This window comes from Homo sapiens, chromosome 3 (genome assembly GCF_000001405.40).
Source record: "Homo sapiens chromosome 3, GRCh38.p14 Primary Assembly".
NCBI classification, from domain to species: Eukaryota; Metazoa; Chordata; class Mammalia; order Primates; family Hominidae; genus Homo; species Homo sapiens.
The window spans coordinates 154,211,665-154,231,418 of NC_000003.12; the positions used below are offsets into that span (position 1 = coordinate 154,211,665).

Consider the following 19,754-nt stretch of genomic DNA (forward strand, 5'->3'; position numbering starts at 1 on the left):
AAATTGGTGTCCTTGAAGAGGGTAGTGGGGAGGATGATCAGTGGAGTCTTCTATTCCATTATCTTAGTTGGCCTTGGGCCAATATATATATTTTAACATGCAAACAAGCTGTATTGGTCAGTGCAGAAAATTAAGTTGCAGAACAATATAAATAGTATAATGACACCTAGAAAATAATGTATATGTGTGTGTGTATATATATATGTGTGTGTGTGTGTGTGTATTTTATTGATATGTAGAAATAGTCCCAGAATCATGCACATTACACTTTCAACCATTGTTAGCTGTGGTAAAGGGAGGAGAGTTTGGAAGGGAGGAAGTAATAAGGCTAAGTACAGCTCTGTAAGAACGTATTTAAGTTGACATTGGTATATTTTAACAGTGCATAAAGTGGCCAAGTGCAATGGCTCATACCTATAATCCCAGCACTTTGGGAGGCTGAGGTAGGCGTATTGCTTGAGCCCAGGAGTTCGAGACCAGCCTGGGCAACATAGTGAGACCTCTTCTCCACAGTAAATCAAAAAATTAGCCTGGCATACAGCTGTGGTTCCAACTACTTGGGAGACTGAGGTGGGAGGATTGCTTGAGCCCAGGTTGTTGATCATGCCATGATAGACCCTGTGACCATGATCACACCACTGTACTACAACCTGGGCGACAGAGCAAGACCCTGTCTCAAAAAAAAAAAAAAGGGAAAATTGGATACAATAATAAGTGTACATTGCAGAATATTTGGAAAACTTAAGAGACAGTAAAATGCATCAGTAATTTTATCACTTAAAGGTGACTACTGTCATTCTATTTTGTATCCTTCTGGTTGGCTTTCTGTTCCAATATTAGCATATGACTGTAAAGGAACACTTAAAAGTGGTCTCCAACCTTTTTGGCACCCCAGACTAGTTTCATGGAAGACGATTTTTCCACAGACGGGTGGGGGGCTGGGGGGTAGGTGGGTGGTAGGTGGTTTCGGGATGAAACCATTTCACCTCAGATCATCAGGCATTAGATTCTCATAAGGAGCACACAGCCTAGATCCTTCACATGCGCAGTTTACAATAAGGTTCACACTCCTATGAGAATCCAGTGCTGTGACTGATCTGACAGGAGGAGGAGGCAGAGCTCAGCCAGTAATGCTCACTTGCCCTCCACTCACCTCCTGCCGTGCGCTGGATTCCTAACCAATCCATGGCCCTGGGGGTGGGGGATCCATGGTATATATGGTACCTATTTCATTTAACATTCTAAGTTGTGCTCCATTGAACATTGTCTTACCTAAATGATTGTGCACATCTAACCATTTCTAAAGATAAATTTTCAGAAGTGGGTTCATGGGAAGAAAAACACAAGAATGTTTTAAATTCTTTTGTATATAATGCCAAAGTGCCTTCTAGAAAAGTTCATGTCCACATCCACCAGTAGTATTTCAGAGTGTCTATCTTACTGCATACTGCCAGGATCAGATATTCTATTAATCTTTGTTAATTTGATGGATCAAAAAGACTTTGTGTTTTAATTTACATTTCTTTACGAGTAACATAGAGAGAGAGAGAGAGTGTGTGTGTGTGTGTGTGTGTGTGTATATATATATATATGCTTTTGTTCCAGGCCTAATATATATTTATTAGGCCTGGGACAAAAGCTTTAGTGAACCAAATTTAATAAAGCTTTGGCATAAATTGAAGGAAGGTACAGTAATATACTGAGGCTGCTTTCAATAAAAACAGCAGAACATGTATGTTCAAATTAATGCTTGTCCCTTCAAAATACTAATTAAAATCAACTCCATTGATGCACCATTGCTTAAGACATCTTGGGAATCTTGTGTTTGGTCTGACTTCTGAAGCACCTTTGGTTTCTTTAGGATTTCCCTAGTGGTGGCATGACTCCAGCTTTTGCTGATGGGCTCAGAATTTGGAAGTTTAAGAAATAAGATAACCCAAACTTAATAATGCCATTTTTTCTTTTCATTTTATGAAGGGATAGCTATTGGCCTGGTGTGCTGGCTCATGTCTGTAATCCTAGCAGTTTGGGATGCTAAGGTGGGATGATCACTTGATGTCAGGAGTTCAAGACCAGCCTGAGCAATGTAGTGAGACCCCATCTCCACAAAAAAAGACGGGAAGATAACTATGAATAAATTGTTTCTTTTTTTTAAAAATGACTTACAAATAGGCTCTGAAGGTGGTTTGTTTATGCAGAAACATTTGCAGAATATCCCATTGGGCGTTAGGTGCTATATTGGGCTCTGGGCTTACAATTACAGAAATTTTATAGTCTGTGCTCTCCAGTCTTTTTGGAGAGGTAGTGCCCACATTGAGCACTGAAAGACAAGTAGGGGGATATAAATCTAGATAAGGAGTCAGTCGGACAGAGTGGGGTGAAGGATGTTCAGACAGGGAAACACACATGCAAAAGAGGGAAGGTGGGACACAGCATATGCATCCAACATTTGGTAGGGCCGAGGCCCCACATGGGAGCAGTGAGAGGTTAGGGATCAAGGAAGTAGGCACCAGATCATGAAGGGTCTTGCTAAGACTTTATTCTGAAAGCTTCAGGGAGCCTTTTAAGGATTTCTAGTGGAGTTGTTTCATGATCAGATCTGAACTTAGAAAAACTGACATCTTATTTTTGGAGGACTCATAAGGGTAGGGCAGAAGTGAGGAAAAGAATTAAGCAGCCAGTAATCCAGGCAGCAAGAGGTCTGAGCCTGAGTTCAGTGGCCAGGGCAGGTAGAGAGAAGTGAACAGCAGGACAGCATCATTAAGGAGACTTGGATTGTATGTGGAGGGCAAAGCAGAGGGAGGGGTCTGAGTGGTGAGGGCCAAGTTTTGGAGGAAAGTGGATGATGCTGAGTTGAGTCACCAGGATAGACAGTGTGGAGCCAGGGACAAGAGCGTGATGAAGGAGATGCTCAGGTTTGGTCATGCTGAATTTGAAATGGCTCTGGGAAATTTAAGAAGAGGTGCCGTGTAGATAGTTGGATCAGAGCCTAGGATGTAGACAAAGTCTGGGAACATAGATTTGGGAGCTATGAACACATTCCCCAGGAGAAGTCACAAAAATGTCCCAAGCAGCAGGAGCCTGGTATGGTGCTTGGGTTTCACCCTGATATGCCCTGTTCCTTTCAGGGTATTGCAGTTTCAGGTTGCTCCTGTCTCACACCTAGATATTTTGGCTCTTAGCTTTGATCAGATATAGCTATCAATCCCTGCATCAGTGAACTCACAGGCCACAGCTAAAGATATGCTGTCATTGAAGACAGGTTTGCCCTCTAAATCTAAAAACCAAGTGAGCAATTAGAAATTGTTTAAGTGCCCATTAATAGGAAATAGAATAAATATATTGGGGAAAGTCCATATAATTATTATAGCATAAATTGGATCATGTCATTCCCCCACTGAAAGCATGCTGGTGACTTTCTTTTTGCACCTGGAATACAATCCAGACACCTTAAGACCTTGCATGATCTAACCGTGGCCTATCTCTTTTGGCTTCATCCCATGCCACCTTCCTTCATGCCAGGATCTTCTTTGACTCACTCAGTCACACACTTTCTCATCTCATCCTTTGCTCATGGTGTCCCTTCTCTGTGAACCATCTTATCATTTAGTAGTAACTACTTCTCCTTCAGCTTTCAGCTTAAATGACCTCTCAGGAGAGGGTCCTTTGGATCCCTCCCCACTTCCCACTCCCCTACTCACCTGTGTTTTTACTTTATGATCTCAGTCTGTGATTTTTTTTTTTTTGCCTTTTGTCTGCCCTTCCGTGAGGTTAGGGATTGTAAGTATTATAACCCTAGTACCTGAAACATAGTAGGCACTAAATAAACTTTTTTTTTTAATGAATAATATTTTAGAAGGGGAAATATTTTTGTCTTAATTCAAGCTGCTGTAACAGAGTACCATAAACTGGGTGGTTTAAGGAACAGATATTTATTGCTCACAGTTGTGGAGGCTGGGCAGTCCAAGACCAAGATATAGGCAGAACCAGTGTTTGCTGAAGGCTGGTTTCCCGGTTTGCAGATGGCCACCTTCTCCCTATGTCCTCACATGGTGGAGAGAGAGCAGAGAGAAGAAGAAAGCTATCCTGTCTCTTCTTATAAGGGCACTAATCCCATTCATGAGGACTCTACTCTCATGACCTAATAACCTCCCAATATTATCACATTGCCTCGTAATATTATCACACTGAGGTTAGGATTTCAACATGAATATGGGGGAGACACAAACATTTAGTCTGTAATAATTGATAAGTGAAAAAAGAAAAAAGACATACAAGCATAGAATGATCATTTCCAAAAAAGAAAAATTTCTGTACATATATGTGTGTATTTATATGTTCATATATAACATAGGAAAAAAAGAGAAAGTGTATGACCCAGTCTGTTTCCAACTACATCTGTGCAGTGGGAGTAGGTCAGGACCTTTTATGGCCTATTTTATTTACTTCTATATTATAGTATTTATTTTTATAGTGGGTATGTTTATATTATTAAAAATAAATCCAATTAAAATTTCCAGTCCTTTTAACAATCACATTTGTTTTTATGGCAAATGACTCTAATATGGGCATTTTTTTTTCCAGATTTTCCAGTTAATGAGATACTTGAGATGCAAAATTTGTTTTGATTTAGACCAGTGAATTAAGATTAGGTACTCATTAAACGACTGTGAAAGTCCTTTATAGATAATTTTGCTTTATAGATAATTTAGTGCTTCTAGTGAAACAAATTTAACTGATGGCCTTAGCTTGGCTATTGTTGAAGAATCCTTCACTGTTAGGCTCCCCTGCAAGACTTCCCTCTTCAGCACTTGTTTTTTTTTTTTTATTTTTTTTTATTTTTTATTTTTTTTTTATGTCTATACAAAATATTTATTTTTTTATTATACTTTAAGTTTTAGGGTACATGTGCACATTGTGCAGGTTAGTTACATATGTATACATGTGCCATGCTGGTACGCTGCACCCACTAACTCGTCATCTAGCATTAGGTATATCTCCCAATGCTATCCCTCCCCCCTTCCCCCACCCCACAACAGTCCCCAGAGTGTGATATTCCCCTTCCTGTGTCCATGTGATCTCATTGTTCAATTCCCACCTATGAGTGAGAATACGCGGTGTTTGGTTTTTTGTTCTTGCGATAGTTTACTGAGAATGATGATTTCCAATTTCATCCATGTCCCTACAAAGGACATGAACTCATCATTTTTTATGGCTGCATAGTATTCCATGGTGTATATGTGCCACATTTTCTTAATCCAGTCTATCATTGTTGGACATTTGGGTTGGTTCCAAGTCTTTGCTATTGTGAATAATGCCGCAATAAACATACGTGTACATGTGTCTTTATAGCAGCATGATTTATAGTCCTTTGGGTATATACCCAGTAATGGGATGGCTGGGTCAAATGAAATTTCTAGTTCTAGATCCCTGAGGAGTCACCACACTGACTTCCACAATGGTTGAACTAGTTTACAGTCCCACCAACAGTGTAAAAGTGTTCCTATTTCTCCACATCCTCTCCAGCACCTGTTGTTCCCTGACTTTTTAATGATTGCCATTCTAACTGGTGTGAGATGGTATCTCATTGTGGTTTTGATTTGCATTTCTCTGATGGCCAGTGATGATGAGCATTTTTTCATGTGTTTTTTGGCTGCATAAATGTCTTCTTTTGAGAAGTGTCTGTTCATGTCCTTCACCCACTTTCTGATGGGGTTGTTTGTTTTTTTCTTGTAAATTTGTTTGAGTTCATTGTAGATTCTGGATATTAGCCCTTTGTCAGATGAGTAGGTTGCGAAAATTTTCTCCCATTTTGTAGGTTGCCTGTTCACACTGATGGTAGTTTCTTTTGCTGTGCAGAAGCTTCAGCACTTGTTTACTGGTCACATGCTTTACACAGCACTCTGCTTAGATTTTGCCTTTGAGGTTGGCCATCTCCCTTCAGCTGCTCTGATTTGGAAGAAGGGCGAGGGTTGCAGCTTTCCCTGAGATAGGGTGACCTTTTTTTCCCTTCTGTCTTCACATCCTAATCACACCACTTCTAACTGGATACGAATGTCTTAACTGTGAAAAACTGTGAGTTCTCTGTCAGAAATGAATCTCTAGGGCTTCCCAAGTGGTAATTATTTCCTGTGAGAGTTCTGCTTTTGAAAGTGAGGTTTCTCTCCTTGACCTTTAACCCTCGTTACTCTTCTGTGTTCCCAGTTGGTTCGACTATGCAATGAGGGCGCCCGGAAGATGGAAAGGACTGAGATGATGTACACAATTAACTCCCAGCTGGAATTTAAAATTAAGGTATTCTCGTACCTTGTTCATTACTGTTCTTGCCTATGTTTTTCTCTAAATAGAGAGAGACAGTTGAGGGCAACAAAGTAGATAGGAAATTGCTTTTCAAAGAAGGGTCATAAATTGCTAAGAGGGAGTAGCAGATGCTTCAGGCAATTTTGCTTTTGCTTGTACCAGACAGAGTGACCTTCCTCCAGGCCCTGAAGCCAGGCATTATCTAAGAAGCACTTTTTTTTTTCCAGGAAGACACCAAGCTTAGGGGAATAAATAAAATAATAGAATAGGGTAGTTAAAATAATAGAATTTTAGAATTGAAAGGAGATTCCTTCATTATTCTCAAAATGTTCTGAAAAACAGTAATATTCCATGAGCTGGACCAGTGTTCTCCTAAATTAAATAAGGACACTCCTTTTCTCGTTTACAAAACAGATCGTTAATGGATAATTTTTTTCAAGTTTGTTTTTCTCTCATAATTTTTTTGAATATGTGCTGCTTGTTATTCCTTGTCTGATACTGCTCTTGAGCAGATGACAAGATGAACAAAAAAGAAGAAAATGACAGCTAATGGCAAATCTAGGTCATGGCCATTCTTTTGTTGGCTCATGGCTGAGTTTTTAATGGGAAGTGAGTGCTCACGATTGTGACTCTATTGTTTTATAACTTGTAAATGTAATTAAACAATTTTAAATGACTGGTCATATTTTTCCCTAGTAAAAGTGTTTCTATTTCATGCAGTCAAATTATAGTGATCAGCATTTCATGGTATTCTGTAAAGAGCAGATTCTCTGCCATGTCATGTAGTTTGAGGATTACTGCATGCTTGCTTTGGCAGCATATATACTAGAATTGAGGATCACTGATATAGTCCAGCTACACCCTTTTATTTTATGAATGAGGAAAAGAAACCCAGAGAATAATTGTCAGCAGAGTCACTTGGCTAGTGGTGATAAAATCAGGACTAAGGTCTAGATGTCCTGACTTGCAGGTCAGTGTAAACTCTTCTACTGTAACATTCTGACTCTAATGGTTTAGATGCAGAAACACAAACTGTAAAAGGGAAGAAGATGGGTATTTGCCAAAAACCAGACACACATGCACACACATGCATGCACGCACACTTTAAATAGTTTTAATGTTCTTGTACAGAATTTTATAGCAATTAAAAAACCCATCTTTCTCCCAACTCTCAGAATCTCGTTCTCTCTAATTTGTTTCTAAATATTTTGGAAAGTATATCTGACAAGTTTGTTTTTTGTTTTTTAATTTCCTCCTTTTGAAAGATGAAAAATTCCCTAACCATTTTTCTTTTCCCTTCTTCACTGAAAGTCACTTGGTATAAGATTACTTTAAGAAACTCTGTCTAGGCCGGGCGAGGTGGCTCATGCCTGTAATCCCAGCACTTTGGGAGGCCGAGGTGGGTGAATCACCTGGGGTCAGGAGTTCGAGAGCAGCCTGACCAACGTGATGAAACCCTGTCTCTACTAAAAATACAAAAATTAGCCGGGTGTAGTGGCAGGCACCTGTAATCCCAGCTATTTGGGAAGCTGAGGCAGGAGAATTGCTTGAACCCAAGAGGCAGAGGTTGCATTGAGTTGATATCTCACCACTGCACTCCAGCCTGGGCAAAAGAGCAAGACTCTTAAAAAAAAAAAAAGAAAAAGAAAAAGAAACTCTGTCCAGTACCCAAAATTAATTTGTAATTGAAAAATGCTAACCCCAAGGATCATTAAAAGTAAGTGATTAACTGAGGTCAGGAGATCGAGACCATCCTGGCTAACACAGTGAAACCCCTTTTCTACTAAAAATACAAAAAAATTAGCCGGGCGTGGTGGCGGGCACCTGTAGTCCCAGCTACTCGGGAGGCTGAGGCAGGAGAATGGCATGAACCCGGGAGGCGGAGCTTGCAGTGAGCCGAGATCGTGCCACTGCACTCCAGCCTGGGCGACAGAGCGAGACTCCGTCTCAAAAAAAACAAAAAACAAAAAACAAACAAAAAAGTAAGTGATTAACATCAGTTGAGTTCCTGAGTTTTGGTTGTTTTCATTCAATGATTAAAATATTTGCGAGCATAAAGTATGGATTTACAGTGGAGCACCTCATTTAGAACACTTAGAATTACTAATTATTACTAATTGGAAATACTCGTAAAATCTTAGGACCTTATAATACTATATGAATAACAGTGGACATTTCTATTTAATTTATTTTAATGATGATAAAATAGAGGTTCAATGAGGTTAAATGATTTATCCAAGTACATGGCAAGTATTGTAAGAATAGAGCAGATTTACTGAGCATCTTCCATGTGGAAGGCAGTAGATAAAAACGTGATCATCCCTCCCCTCATAGTCTAGTAGAAGACTGCTGAAAATCAAAGGAGTCAGCAAAGTCTACAGCTGTCACAGTAGCTAGAAGACTATGGAAAATACTGGAAATGGAAGGGAGATGGACAACTCTAAGAGCAAGAGACAGAGAGGGCTGGGGGACTTGGAGCAGTCTGGCAAGGCTTAATGCCAGAGGTGTGTTTGACCTGAATCTTGAAAGGTGAGTTAAGAAGGGCCTTAGAGCAGAAACAAATGCACAGTTTCCACTCCTGTGGCCCAGGAATTGTAAGCATTCAGTGTGGGTAGACTTGGGGTGCAAGAGGAGCAGGGTGGAGCTACAGTAGCAGGCAAACACTCCTGCGGACAGCCCTGTGTACCAAGAGGAGGAGCTGAGTGAGGTCATTTGGGAGCCACCGAAAAGTTCTAAGCAGGGAAGTGAAGCAATCAGATGTGTGTTTAGTAAAGACAACTTCAGCAATGGGGAAAGGCTTTTCCAACTTACTCCAAATCCAGAAGTCATTAAAAGAAAAAAGTCCTAATTAATCTATATAAATTTTTAAAAAATTTCTCTATAGAGGGAAAAAGACCATGAAAAAAGTGAAAAGGCAAATAGCAAACTGGAGAAAAAAATAGTTGCAACTCACATATAGACAAAGGGTAAATATCCCCGATGTATAAAATCAAAATGATAAGAGAAGACCCACTAGTCTACAAGCCAAGGAGCACCAAAGATTGCCAGCAAACTACCAGAAGCTGGGGGAGAGGCCTGGAACAGATTATTCCCTAGCACCTTCTGAGAGCCTGGCCTTGCTGACACTTTCATCTTGGCCTGTCTTCCAAAACTGTGAGACATAAATTCCTGTTGTGTAAAACAAAAAAAAAAAACCACTAGAAAGTTGCAAATTAGAAAACTGCTACCAGAAAAGGAAATCCAAATGATGACAAAGTTTTGAAGATGCTTTATTTCACTCAGAGGAAAATTGCTAATTGAAGATTAGCAGATAAAGATAATGAACTTCACCTTTTAGATTTATAAATAATTCAAAAGTTTGATACCCCATTTTATTGATGGAATTGGAGAAAAAGGCATTTTTATATGTTGCTGGTGGGAAAGATTGTTTTACCCCAATGGTGTGCAATTTGGCAATAACTATCAAAATTACAAATGCAAGTTACTACAACTCAGCAATTTTACTTCTAAGAATTCTACAGATGTACTCATGAATGTATAAAATTAAACACACACTGAGCTATTATTATAGTGTTGTTTGTAATAGTGAAAGATGAGGAAAAACATCTAAATATCTATCAAAGAGGATTAATTAAATAAATTATAGTATACGCAAATAATGTGATACCACTCAAAAGAATAAAGGAGAATTTTAGATACCTATATGGAAAGCTTTCTTATATATTATTAAATGAAAAAAGTAAGGTTTAGATATAAAAAAATACAGTTTGCTTTTGCAGATGAAATATTTGGACAGATGCAGATGAAACTAGTTATTGGTCATTACCCGTGAGGGGCAGTGGTCAGGGAGTGGGCCTTGTCGGGTTGACTGGGTGGAGAGCCACCCACTCACTCAGATAGGAAATTCAGGAGGAGGAACAAGTTTTGGGGGAAGGTAATGAGTTCTATTTTGGCCATATTTGGTTTATGGTATGGCCATAGGTGCTACTACTATGAGAATATTGGTTGCAAATTTACTAAGTAGTGCCATTTTCACATTTATCTGATTTAATTCTCACATGAACCCTATAATGTACCCTTATTATTAACTTCACTTTATAGATGAAGAACCTGAAACTAGAGAGATTAAATTCTTTGCTCAAGGTTATACACCAAGACGTTATAAAGTCTAGATTCAAATCTTTGACTCCAGAGTCCACATTCTTAACAATGACTGTATGATAATGATAATATGGATATTTTTCTAATTTGGAGGAAAGTAAATTTTGTAGGGCATGTGTGTGTGTTTTTCATTGTCATTTCACACGTTTTTTATTTTTAATTTTGCTTATGATTTTCTGGAAGACTGTCAAGTGCTAAACTGCAGTAATATGAGAGGAGATGGAAAGCATCCCTGGATTGGCACTTTGGAAGCTAGTGTAAAGTTAGAGCACAGGCTCCAGAACTGACCTGCCTGAGTTGCAGTAGAAGCTCCACCACTTACTAGCTGTACAACCTTGGGCATCACTTACCTTTTCATGTCTTGGTTTTCTGAACCCTAAAGTGAAGCTGATGATAGTACTTTCCCTCATGGAATTATTTTGAAAATTAAATTATTTAAGAGATATAAAGGGTTTAAATAGACCTGATTTATAGTAAACAAGCAGCAAACATTGTTGATGTGTTTTATCAGAGTAGTTAAATAGATGTGGGTGCATTGAAGAGTGAGTGGGATGTGAAGCAGTTGAAGCAGATTAGACTTTTCATTCCAGAAGCTTGACTATCAAGAGGATAGGGCAGTGATGATAACTAGAGGATTCACAAAGTCAAGGGACCATTTTTTGTGAATAGTCTTCAGGATAGTTTGCAGAAAGGGAGCCAGGAGGGAGAGAATACTAATGAGAGGGGAATAAATCAAGGGAATAAGGCCTTAGAGCTGAAAACAGGGTGTTGAAGACAGGAGAGCTTATCCTCTGAGATGGGAGGAAAGAAAATGATGGTTGTAGAGAAAAAGCTGGTCACTAAACCAAGAAGATCGAAAACCAGAGATTAGTTTGTGTCTCAAATCCAGTGTTTTTTCTCCACTAGAAAACAGCTTTCTTTAAAAGTTGCCTCTACAGAGTTGGGAAGAATTTTGTTTTTTTGTCTTGCGATGGAAAGTTTGACCTTATGAATAAGCACATGGAGAAGTTGAGGTTTCTCAGGCTGCTTTAGGAGACATACATTCAGTGTGATTGAGTGGAGTGGTGGTATGTTAGTTGACAGAAGGCTTTGCTGGTTGCCATTTGGGGGCCTTGCTAACAATGGAAATCCAAGAAAAATCTTTGTGCTGTAGAGGACAGTTTGTTAGTTTCCCAAAAATCTAAACATAAGAGTTACTACTATATGACCCAGCAGTTCCACTCCTAGGTATATACCCAAGAGAACTGAAAAGAGATGTTCAAAAACATATACACAAATCTTCATGGCAGCATTGTTCATAATAGCCAAGAAAGTGAAAATACCCCAAATCAACGGATGAATTGATAAACAAAATGTGATATATGCATATAGTAAAATATTTAGGCACAGAAAGGAATAAAGTTCTTATACATGCCTTGTGGATGAACCTTGGAAATGTTATGCTAGGTGAGAGAAACCAAATTCAAAGATCACATATTGTATAATTCCATTTATATGACACATCCAGTATAGACAAATCCATAGAGTTAGAAAGTAGATTAGTGGTTGCCAGATGCTTGGGGGAGGAAGAGTGGCAGATGACTGCTCAATGCATATGGGGTTTCCTTTTGAGGTAATGAAAATGCTCTGGAATTACATAATGTTGATTATTGAACAATATTATGAACATACTAGAAACCACTGTATTCTACACCCTTTGAAGTGGTGAAATGGTGAATTTCATGTTATGTAAATTTTATCTCAACATTAAAAAAATTATTTGCTCTTCAGCAGCTCTCTCTTTTCTTGCTGCCCCATAAAATTAGTTACATTTTATGCCAAGGCTAGCTTTCTAGGATGCCAGGTAATAGAAAAAAAAAAATGAAATGTCTGTGCTCCATAGGCACAGACTATTTCAGTACTATTTAGGATAGTATTTCAGTACTATTTAGGATATATCTTTGTTCATGAATTTCTTTTCTAGTTTCTGGTTCACACATGGATTCTAGTCTCAGCATTTCCTTACTAGGGGAATTCACTCATGCTCACTTTGGGCTGTTCTGATTTCCTTTATTTGGATCATTTTAATATCTCTTCTTTAATAAAACCTATCTGATTGAGTTCAGTCTTCTAACAATAAATCTGAAACATAAACTATATATAAAATGTTGGGCTTTTGTTTTCAAAAGAAGCATAGATGTATTGAAAGCTTTTGTCAATTTTAGGTGTTTATAGGTAGAAATTTAGTTTTGCCCCTAGTGGAGTATGAGGACTCCATAAAAATGAATCTGCTTTAAAAACAATAAAACAATTTAAAAATCTTTCTTTCTCCACCCCCTAAATCAGAACAGTCACAGGGCAGCATGTGCACTGAAACTTAACCATAATATTGTCCTTGGTTCATCTTGTAGGGTTATACGCAATAGCAAGATAGTCCTGTGTTTCCTGTAATTCCGGCCCTTCAGCCGGACCTACCCTGACACAAGGTGACCTCTTGTATGTGCTGCCTAGTCTGCCGGAGTTATCTAAGCAATCTGTCGACCTTTAAGGTTTCAGCTGTCTCTGTAGGGTAATTGTCTGATTTCGAGATTTTGGGGGTTGGGAACTTCATAAACTCCCTTAGCAGCCAGTTTTGAAAAGTTTGGGGTTAGCCATAATCTTTTATCTTCGTTTTTTGGACCTTCAGGAAAATAGTATATAAATGATAAGCAACCTTCTTATAAAAGCTCTTTATAAAGTTTAAAATAAATATGAAATCCTTTCTTAGCCTTCTCATTTCCTCTCTAATATCCTCAATTTCCTTTAGCTATTTTTAATCATTATTTCCTGAAAAGGGTGATGTTTGATTGCATCACATTTCTGCATTATGTTTTGTGTGTCCAAGAACTTTTGCTTATTTTATGGATGTAGTCTTTTAAATCAGAGTTTTGGCAGTAAACATTTCTGGTAACTTAAAAAAAAAAAGCTTTCAAGGGTAAGGATTGTTCTGTAGTTTTGAGAGTTTTCCAGTTGGCTTGTACAAGACTGAATAAAGAAAATAAAAAAGCAGTATGTAATTTTTTGGATACAGCCTTTTCTATGATATTATAATGATTATGATGGATTATTTTGGAAGAACCTCATTTTCACAGCCAGAAAGTAGTATGATGCTTTCAGGTACAAACTTCCATGAAGCAAGCTACCATGATCTTAAGAACAGGTGTTCTCAAGAATATGGCTAAATAGATAATTTGTAGACAAAAAAATAAGCATGTAGGTTTTTTTCTCTTGAAAGAAACCTTTTTACTTCATGAAGTAAATGTAGACTTTTATATTTGTCTCGTTAACCTATAGTTGTGTTTTTCTGTATGTTTAGATTCTGATTTGAGATATTTAAAATAACTAGTTGATTCTGATATATTTTATTACTAGGCTTTTCAATTGTAAATAACTCCTTACTTTCTTTTTCAGTTAAGAGTTAATAGAAGGGTCATAATTTTTTATTGATCCAATAACATTTTCTCATTGAGTTTTAGTTTCATATTGGGAAGTTAATAGTTTTTTATAGTGGAAGATATATTGTTCTTTTTCATTTTTTCTTGAAGAATGCACTGTACTTCTGTATTTATAGTTCAGTTTTATATGCCTATAAAACAATGATGCATACTATGATAAGTATCATTTGTTTGAATGTACGTTTTAGCTTTTACTTTCAGTAAACTTAAAAGGATTTCAATTTAGCTTTGGTCACTGGGTTTTTCTCCTTTTGTAGCCTTTTCCTTTAGTCTCCTCTTCCCGGTGGTTGGTAAAAAGAGGTGAATTGACAGCCTATGTTGAAGACACTGTGCTTTTCTCAAGAAGGACATCCAAACAGCAAGTCTACTTCTTTCTCTTTAACGATGTGCTCATTATCACCAAGAAGAAGAGGTAAGTCTTTATCTGGTGTTGCTGACTAGACATTCCAGTTTTAAAGTTCTGTAATTCAGATGCCTGTTAGGGTGATCATCCTTTAAAAGCTAGAAATGTTGGAAGTATAGTTTCTACATACTGAATCATAATTGCATCTATGGTTCATTTTCTTTAAATTGCTTATGTAGTTTCAGACGAATCATTATCTGCATCATAATTCTTGCCAACCTCTATTGAGCCACTGTTCTAAGCATTTTACACATTTATATCATTCAATTCTTATGATATCCCTGAGAAGGTAGCACTGTTTTTATTCTCATTCTGTGTTTTTCAGACTCCTTCTACCATAAAATTTTTGTGTAAAACAGAAAAAAGTTGGTCCAGTTGAGAACAGGTTGGGGAGCAACTCTAGTGCTCCTTTTAACTTAATTTAAAATGCACTGCTTTTAATGATCCTTAGTCTAAAACATTCCCCTGTGACTGGGAAGGTGTTAGCCATACTCCCTTCTGAAGGGAATGAAGTAAATCATTTGATTGGCAGAGTGTTTGTTCTTCTTACTCCAGGCTTCTAGTTCTGTGTTTGTGTCCAGCTCTGGTGAGATGTCCATGAAGAATATTGTAGAAACCTTTTCTTTCCAGTATTTCTTCTGTCAGACTGTTTCTGTTCTACACACACACACACACACACACACACACACACACACCCCTTCAGCTCTGCCTTTCTCTAGGGAACATACTTTATTAAATGCACCCAACACATGTAAGGTCCTATGTAAATATTCCGTCTTTCCTAGAATATGAACTTAGAGTGAAAACTTAAATCTGTGGGCTGTTATTTCCACATATGAGGGAAATGATGGTGGCCTGAATTGATGGCATATGGTGGGATCAGGGGTGGTCCTGGGGTGCAATTTAGGCAAGGTGAAGAGAATTATAGAAACAGATCTCTATGAAAATACAAAATAAATGTCCAAATGTATCAGGCATATTTAATTAAATGCTAGTTCTGAGTTGCTGACTTTATAGCTTGAAAATTCAAACTAAATTAAAACAGATTGAGTTCTTCTTTTTGCTCCTTTTAATCAGACCATATTATGAATTATTTCAGCTGAGTGGCTGTCTAGCTGAAATGAAATGTTAGTATGGTCTTCCCTGAGAAGCCATAATGTGACAATGATACATACATTAAAATGCTGATCATTATTTTTCATACTTAGGAAAATTCTATTTCCATATCTCCAAGGAGAAATTACTTCTCTTACCTGGAGTAGTCTAAATAGTTCTAGCAGCTAAGTAAAAATTTTTTTTTTTTTTTTTTTTTGAGATAGAGTCTTGCTGTGTCCCACAGGCTGGAGTGCAGTGGCGTGATCTCGGCTCACTGCAGGCTCCGCCTCCCGGGTTCACGCCATTCTCCTGCCTCAGCCTCTCGCAGGCGCCCGCTACCACACCCAGCTAATTTTTTGTATTTTTAGTGGAGATGGGGTTTCACCATGTCAGCTAGGATGGTCTCAATCTCCTGACCTCGTGATCTGCCTGCCTCAGCTTCCTAAAGTGCTGGGATTATAGGCATGAGCCACTGCGCCCAGCCGTAAATTTTATAAAGAAAGATGGGAGAAGAATTATAATTTTTATGTTTTTGTGTTTTGTTGGTTTCCTATGAGATAGCATTTTTCCTTGGCTTTCTCCAGGATGTTTTGTTTTTAGGGGAGAGTAGTTATATATGTCTCTTCAAATGCCAGAACTCTTGACTTTTAACATCTTCCAGCTGTTGAAATATTTGTTCTGTCTCAGTAGACCAAGAGCTTTAACTAAAATTTGATTTAAATGGTAAAATGTACACTGACAGTACCAAGCCAATTTTAAATATAAATGTAATTTCGATTATGATGACTTTGGTGACTTAATGAAAATATTAAAGGTATTTAAACCAGTACAGTGCAACTTTTGTTCTTGAATTTGCACAGACCTACTCAATAAATATAGACTATTGAAAGTCAGAATTAAGGTATATGCTCTTCTACTTAGTAGCGTACTTTGCCCTTCACAGATGGTGTTGCTCTCCTAGCTATCCCACATTTATTTGCTCAGGTAAATTTGAACTTGTATTATTAATAAAGAGCAATGCCATTGGGAGTCTTTGAGAATTTTTTTTTTTTTTTTGAGACGGGCGTTTTGCTGTTGTTGCCCAGGCTGGAGTGCAATGGCATGATCTCTGGTTCACTGCAACCTCTGCCTCCCAGGTTCAAGTGATTCTCCTGCCTCAGCCTCCTGAGTAGCTGGGATTACAGGCATGCGCCACCATGCCTGGCTAATTTTGTATTTTTAGTAGAGATGGGGTTTCTCCATGTTTGTCAGGCTGGTCTAGAACTCCTGACCTCAGGTGATCTGCCTGTCTCGGCCTCCCAAAGTGCTGGAATTAGAGGCGTGAGCCACCGCACCTGGCCTTTTTTTTTTTTTCTTTTTCTTTTTTTTCTTTTTCTTTTTTTTAAGAGCAAGATACACAGCTCCAATGGAGAGGACAACCTGAGTACCTAACTTGGCCTTTACCAAAACTAGAATTTTTTTTTTGCCTTACCAATTAGTTCATTATATTTCTAGGGTGTTCTTAGGTAATAGTATTGGAGACCTAATTGTTTATGACCTGAATATGTGGTGAGGTTACATGCAAACCACAGAAGCTTCATAAACAGACTTGGTTAAAAATGTACACTATGCCTGACCGTATTTACATGATAGCTTCAAGGAGGCGAACTGCAAATGCTTTGCATGCCAGAGGCAACAGTAAAGGAGATACAACAACCCTGAACAAGGCGATAATTTAGGCTTGGCCACAAGTTACAGATAAAGGAAAATCACCTGTGCCAGCGCTTGAGGACTGATCTAGCCACCCACTGCCTAATTCTAATTCCAGGTTTCAGTCAAGGAACTTAGCAGCTGGGCTTCCAGTGGTTTTCCTCTTCAGGGAGGTTTTTCAGCTACTGAGAAAAGCTGCTCGGGAGGACAGTTACTCTTCCTCCTCCGATCCAGACTGGCAGAAGGTTTATACTGGGCACATTCCATAGATTGCTGAGGTGTGTGGACCCCCTCCACTTCACAGTGCATGTATCACTGCTTGTGCTTGTAAAGCTGGCTTGATGAGTGGCCATGACACTGTCTTTGTGACAGGAATTTTCACTTTTTTAGAACATTAAAAACAAGCTTATTTTAATTATTAATTTTTTTTTTAGAGACGGGACCTTGTTATGTTGCCCAGGCTGCAGTTCAGTGGCTATTCACAGGCATGATCATAGCACACTGCAGCCTCACACTCCTGGGCTCAGGCAGCCCTTCCACCTCAGCCTCCTGAGTAGCTGGGGCTGTGGGCATGTGCCTTTCTCTTTACAAGAAAGTTTAAAGTTTTCATTAGCCCTGGCTGCTAGTGAGTCACTCTGTTAATAGCCTGGTTCTACCAGATTTCAAAAGGATACATGATTGATTACTCTGGATGAGGGATGAGGACATGAACACTTTGGTATTTGAAGCTTTGACTAGAAGTTATCTGGGTACTGCAAGAGCAGACTTCTCAACCTTGGCACGATTGACATTTTGGGGCCTGATGTTTCTTTGTTGTAGAGGACTGTCCTGTGCAATAATGTAGGATGTTTTAGCAGCATTCCTCGTCTCTATCCACTGTTCGCTAGTAACAGCCCCCTTACACCCTAGTTGCGACAACCAAAAATGTCTCTGGACGTTTTTGCCTAATGTCCCCATGGAGCAAATCCCTGCTAGTTGACAACCACTATACTAGCATGGTAGTAAACTAAACTAGCTTTGCCTTTGGAGTAGTGAAGGTGTGAAAATCTATCAGACTGACACAGCAAGAATAGTAATATTGTATTATAAAAGTAATTTATTGTCAAGTTATACTCATAGATTAACAAATAACATTATAATATCCAATATGTGCCTACTGATAACTTATTATAATAAAGATGAATTACAGACTGTACCTTCATGTATAACCTATGGTCTAAATACTGTTGTTCCTAGTTTTGAAATACAAAACTGAATCCAAGATCTAACTAGGTTCAAGCTACTAAAAGATTTATTTTGTAAGATATAGTCCCTTCTATCTGGCTTAGGTCTTCTCTACCAATATCACCTGAAGCTGAAAGCAAAATTTTCCTTCCTGTATTTGTTTCCTTACTGTGTTAGTTTCTTACAGCTGCTGTATCAAAGTGCCACAAACAAAGTGAGTGGCTTAAAACAGTCAGAATTTATTGTCTCACAGTTCTGGAGGCCAGGATTATTTCCATTTCACAGATGAAGACGCTGAGGAAAAGAGAGATAAAATATCTTTTTCAAGGTCTTTCAGCAGAGCCAGGATTCTAATCTGAGTCTTTGTTTCCAGAGGCTCAATTTCTTTATGTTCATTACTTCTTCATTTTATTTTTCTAGAATATTTCACTTTTCCCCTCATCCTATAAAGTTATTGGGGGAAAAAAGCATAGAAACTTACAACTTTTTTGTTTGTTTGGAGAAACATCTTTTCCAAAGTAAGCTTTTGTTGAGTATTTTTATAGTTTTACTGGTTGTAGGAGAAAACTAGAACCAGTACCAAATCATATTTGTGAGTTTTCCTCTGCCATTAGCTAATCTAGCATCAGAATCTGGGGAAGAGTTTCCCTTTGTTAACATTTCCTTCCTGCAGACATTTAAGACAGGAGATTTCTACTTCCTGATTTCTGGTTCCATAAATACTGTGTATAGCTTGAGCCCTGGTTACAACTTTCTAGGTTTTATAAAAAGGTTTTCAAAATTTTTAATTTTTTTTTCAGGTTTTATAAAATTTTCTGTAATAGCAAACTACTAGGTCATTATCATAAGGTCAAGGACTTAAGTTCAAATTTGGATTTTCCCAAATAGTTTGAACACCCAGTGGCTCAAAGCTGTGCAGGCTCCCTTGAAAGGTTCATGGCCTGGTTTGGTTCCATTTTTTGCTTTTTCCATGAGAATGCTCTTTCCTATTATAGAAAGCTGAAAATCACCTGATACCTGTTTCATCTGCAGAATAAACTCGTTCCTAGGGAAGTCAAGAGTATCCTGGCTAAAGGAAAGGCAGTAAAAATGATTGCAAGCTCCTTTGTTCCTGAAACACATGAAGCTTGCTTATTTCTGACCATTTTGGAATTGAGTTCTAAATTCAAGATGGCAAGATGGGGTGGAAAAGAAATGGGAGCCCTGTTTCCTTTTTGCTCCTTTTTTTCTTCCGCTGTCATTTGCAGCCTTGATTCCTCTGATGTTATGAGGTATTGTTTCCCCTGCATCTGTAAGGAGAGTTGGCATTGCTGTTAAATGTTGAAAGCTGCCACTACTGAGAAGCACAATATCGATGCCTGGGGTCAGAAAACTGAGCTCAAATCCTGGGCAAATTACTTCTCGTCTCT

At 38.3% G+C, this 19,754-nt stretch overlaps 1 protein-coding gene across 5 annotated transcripts in view; it reads left to right on the forward strand.

The window, feature by feature from the left end:
• Positions 1-19,754, forward strand: part of ARHGEF26 (Rho guanine nucleotide exchange factor 26) — a 136,823-nt gene that overhangs the window by 90,662 nt on the left and 26,407 nt on the right. For 3 of the 5 annotated variants that reach the window (NM_001251962.2, NM_015595.4, NM_001251963.2), the window contains exons 10-11: positions 6,205-6,294; positions 14,192-14,346. In NM_001251962.2, the coding sequence (NP_001238891.1) occupies positions 6,205-6,294; positions 14,192-14,346 (245 nt within the window). The remainder of the gene's footprint in view (positions 1-6,204; positions 6,295-14,191; positions 14,347-19,754) is intronic. The other 2 variants (XM_011512672.2, XM_047447954.1) reach the window with 1 other exon arrangement.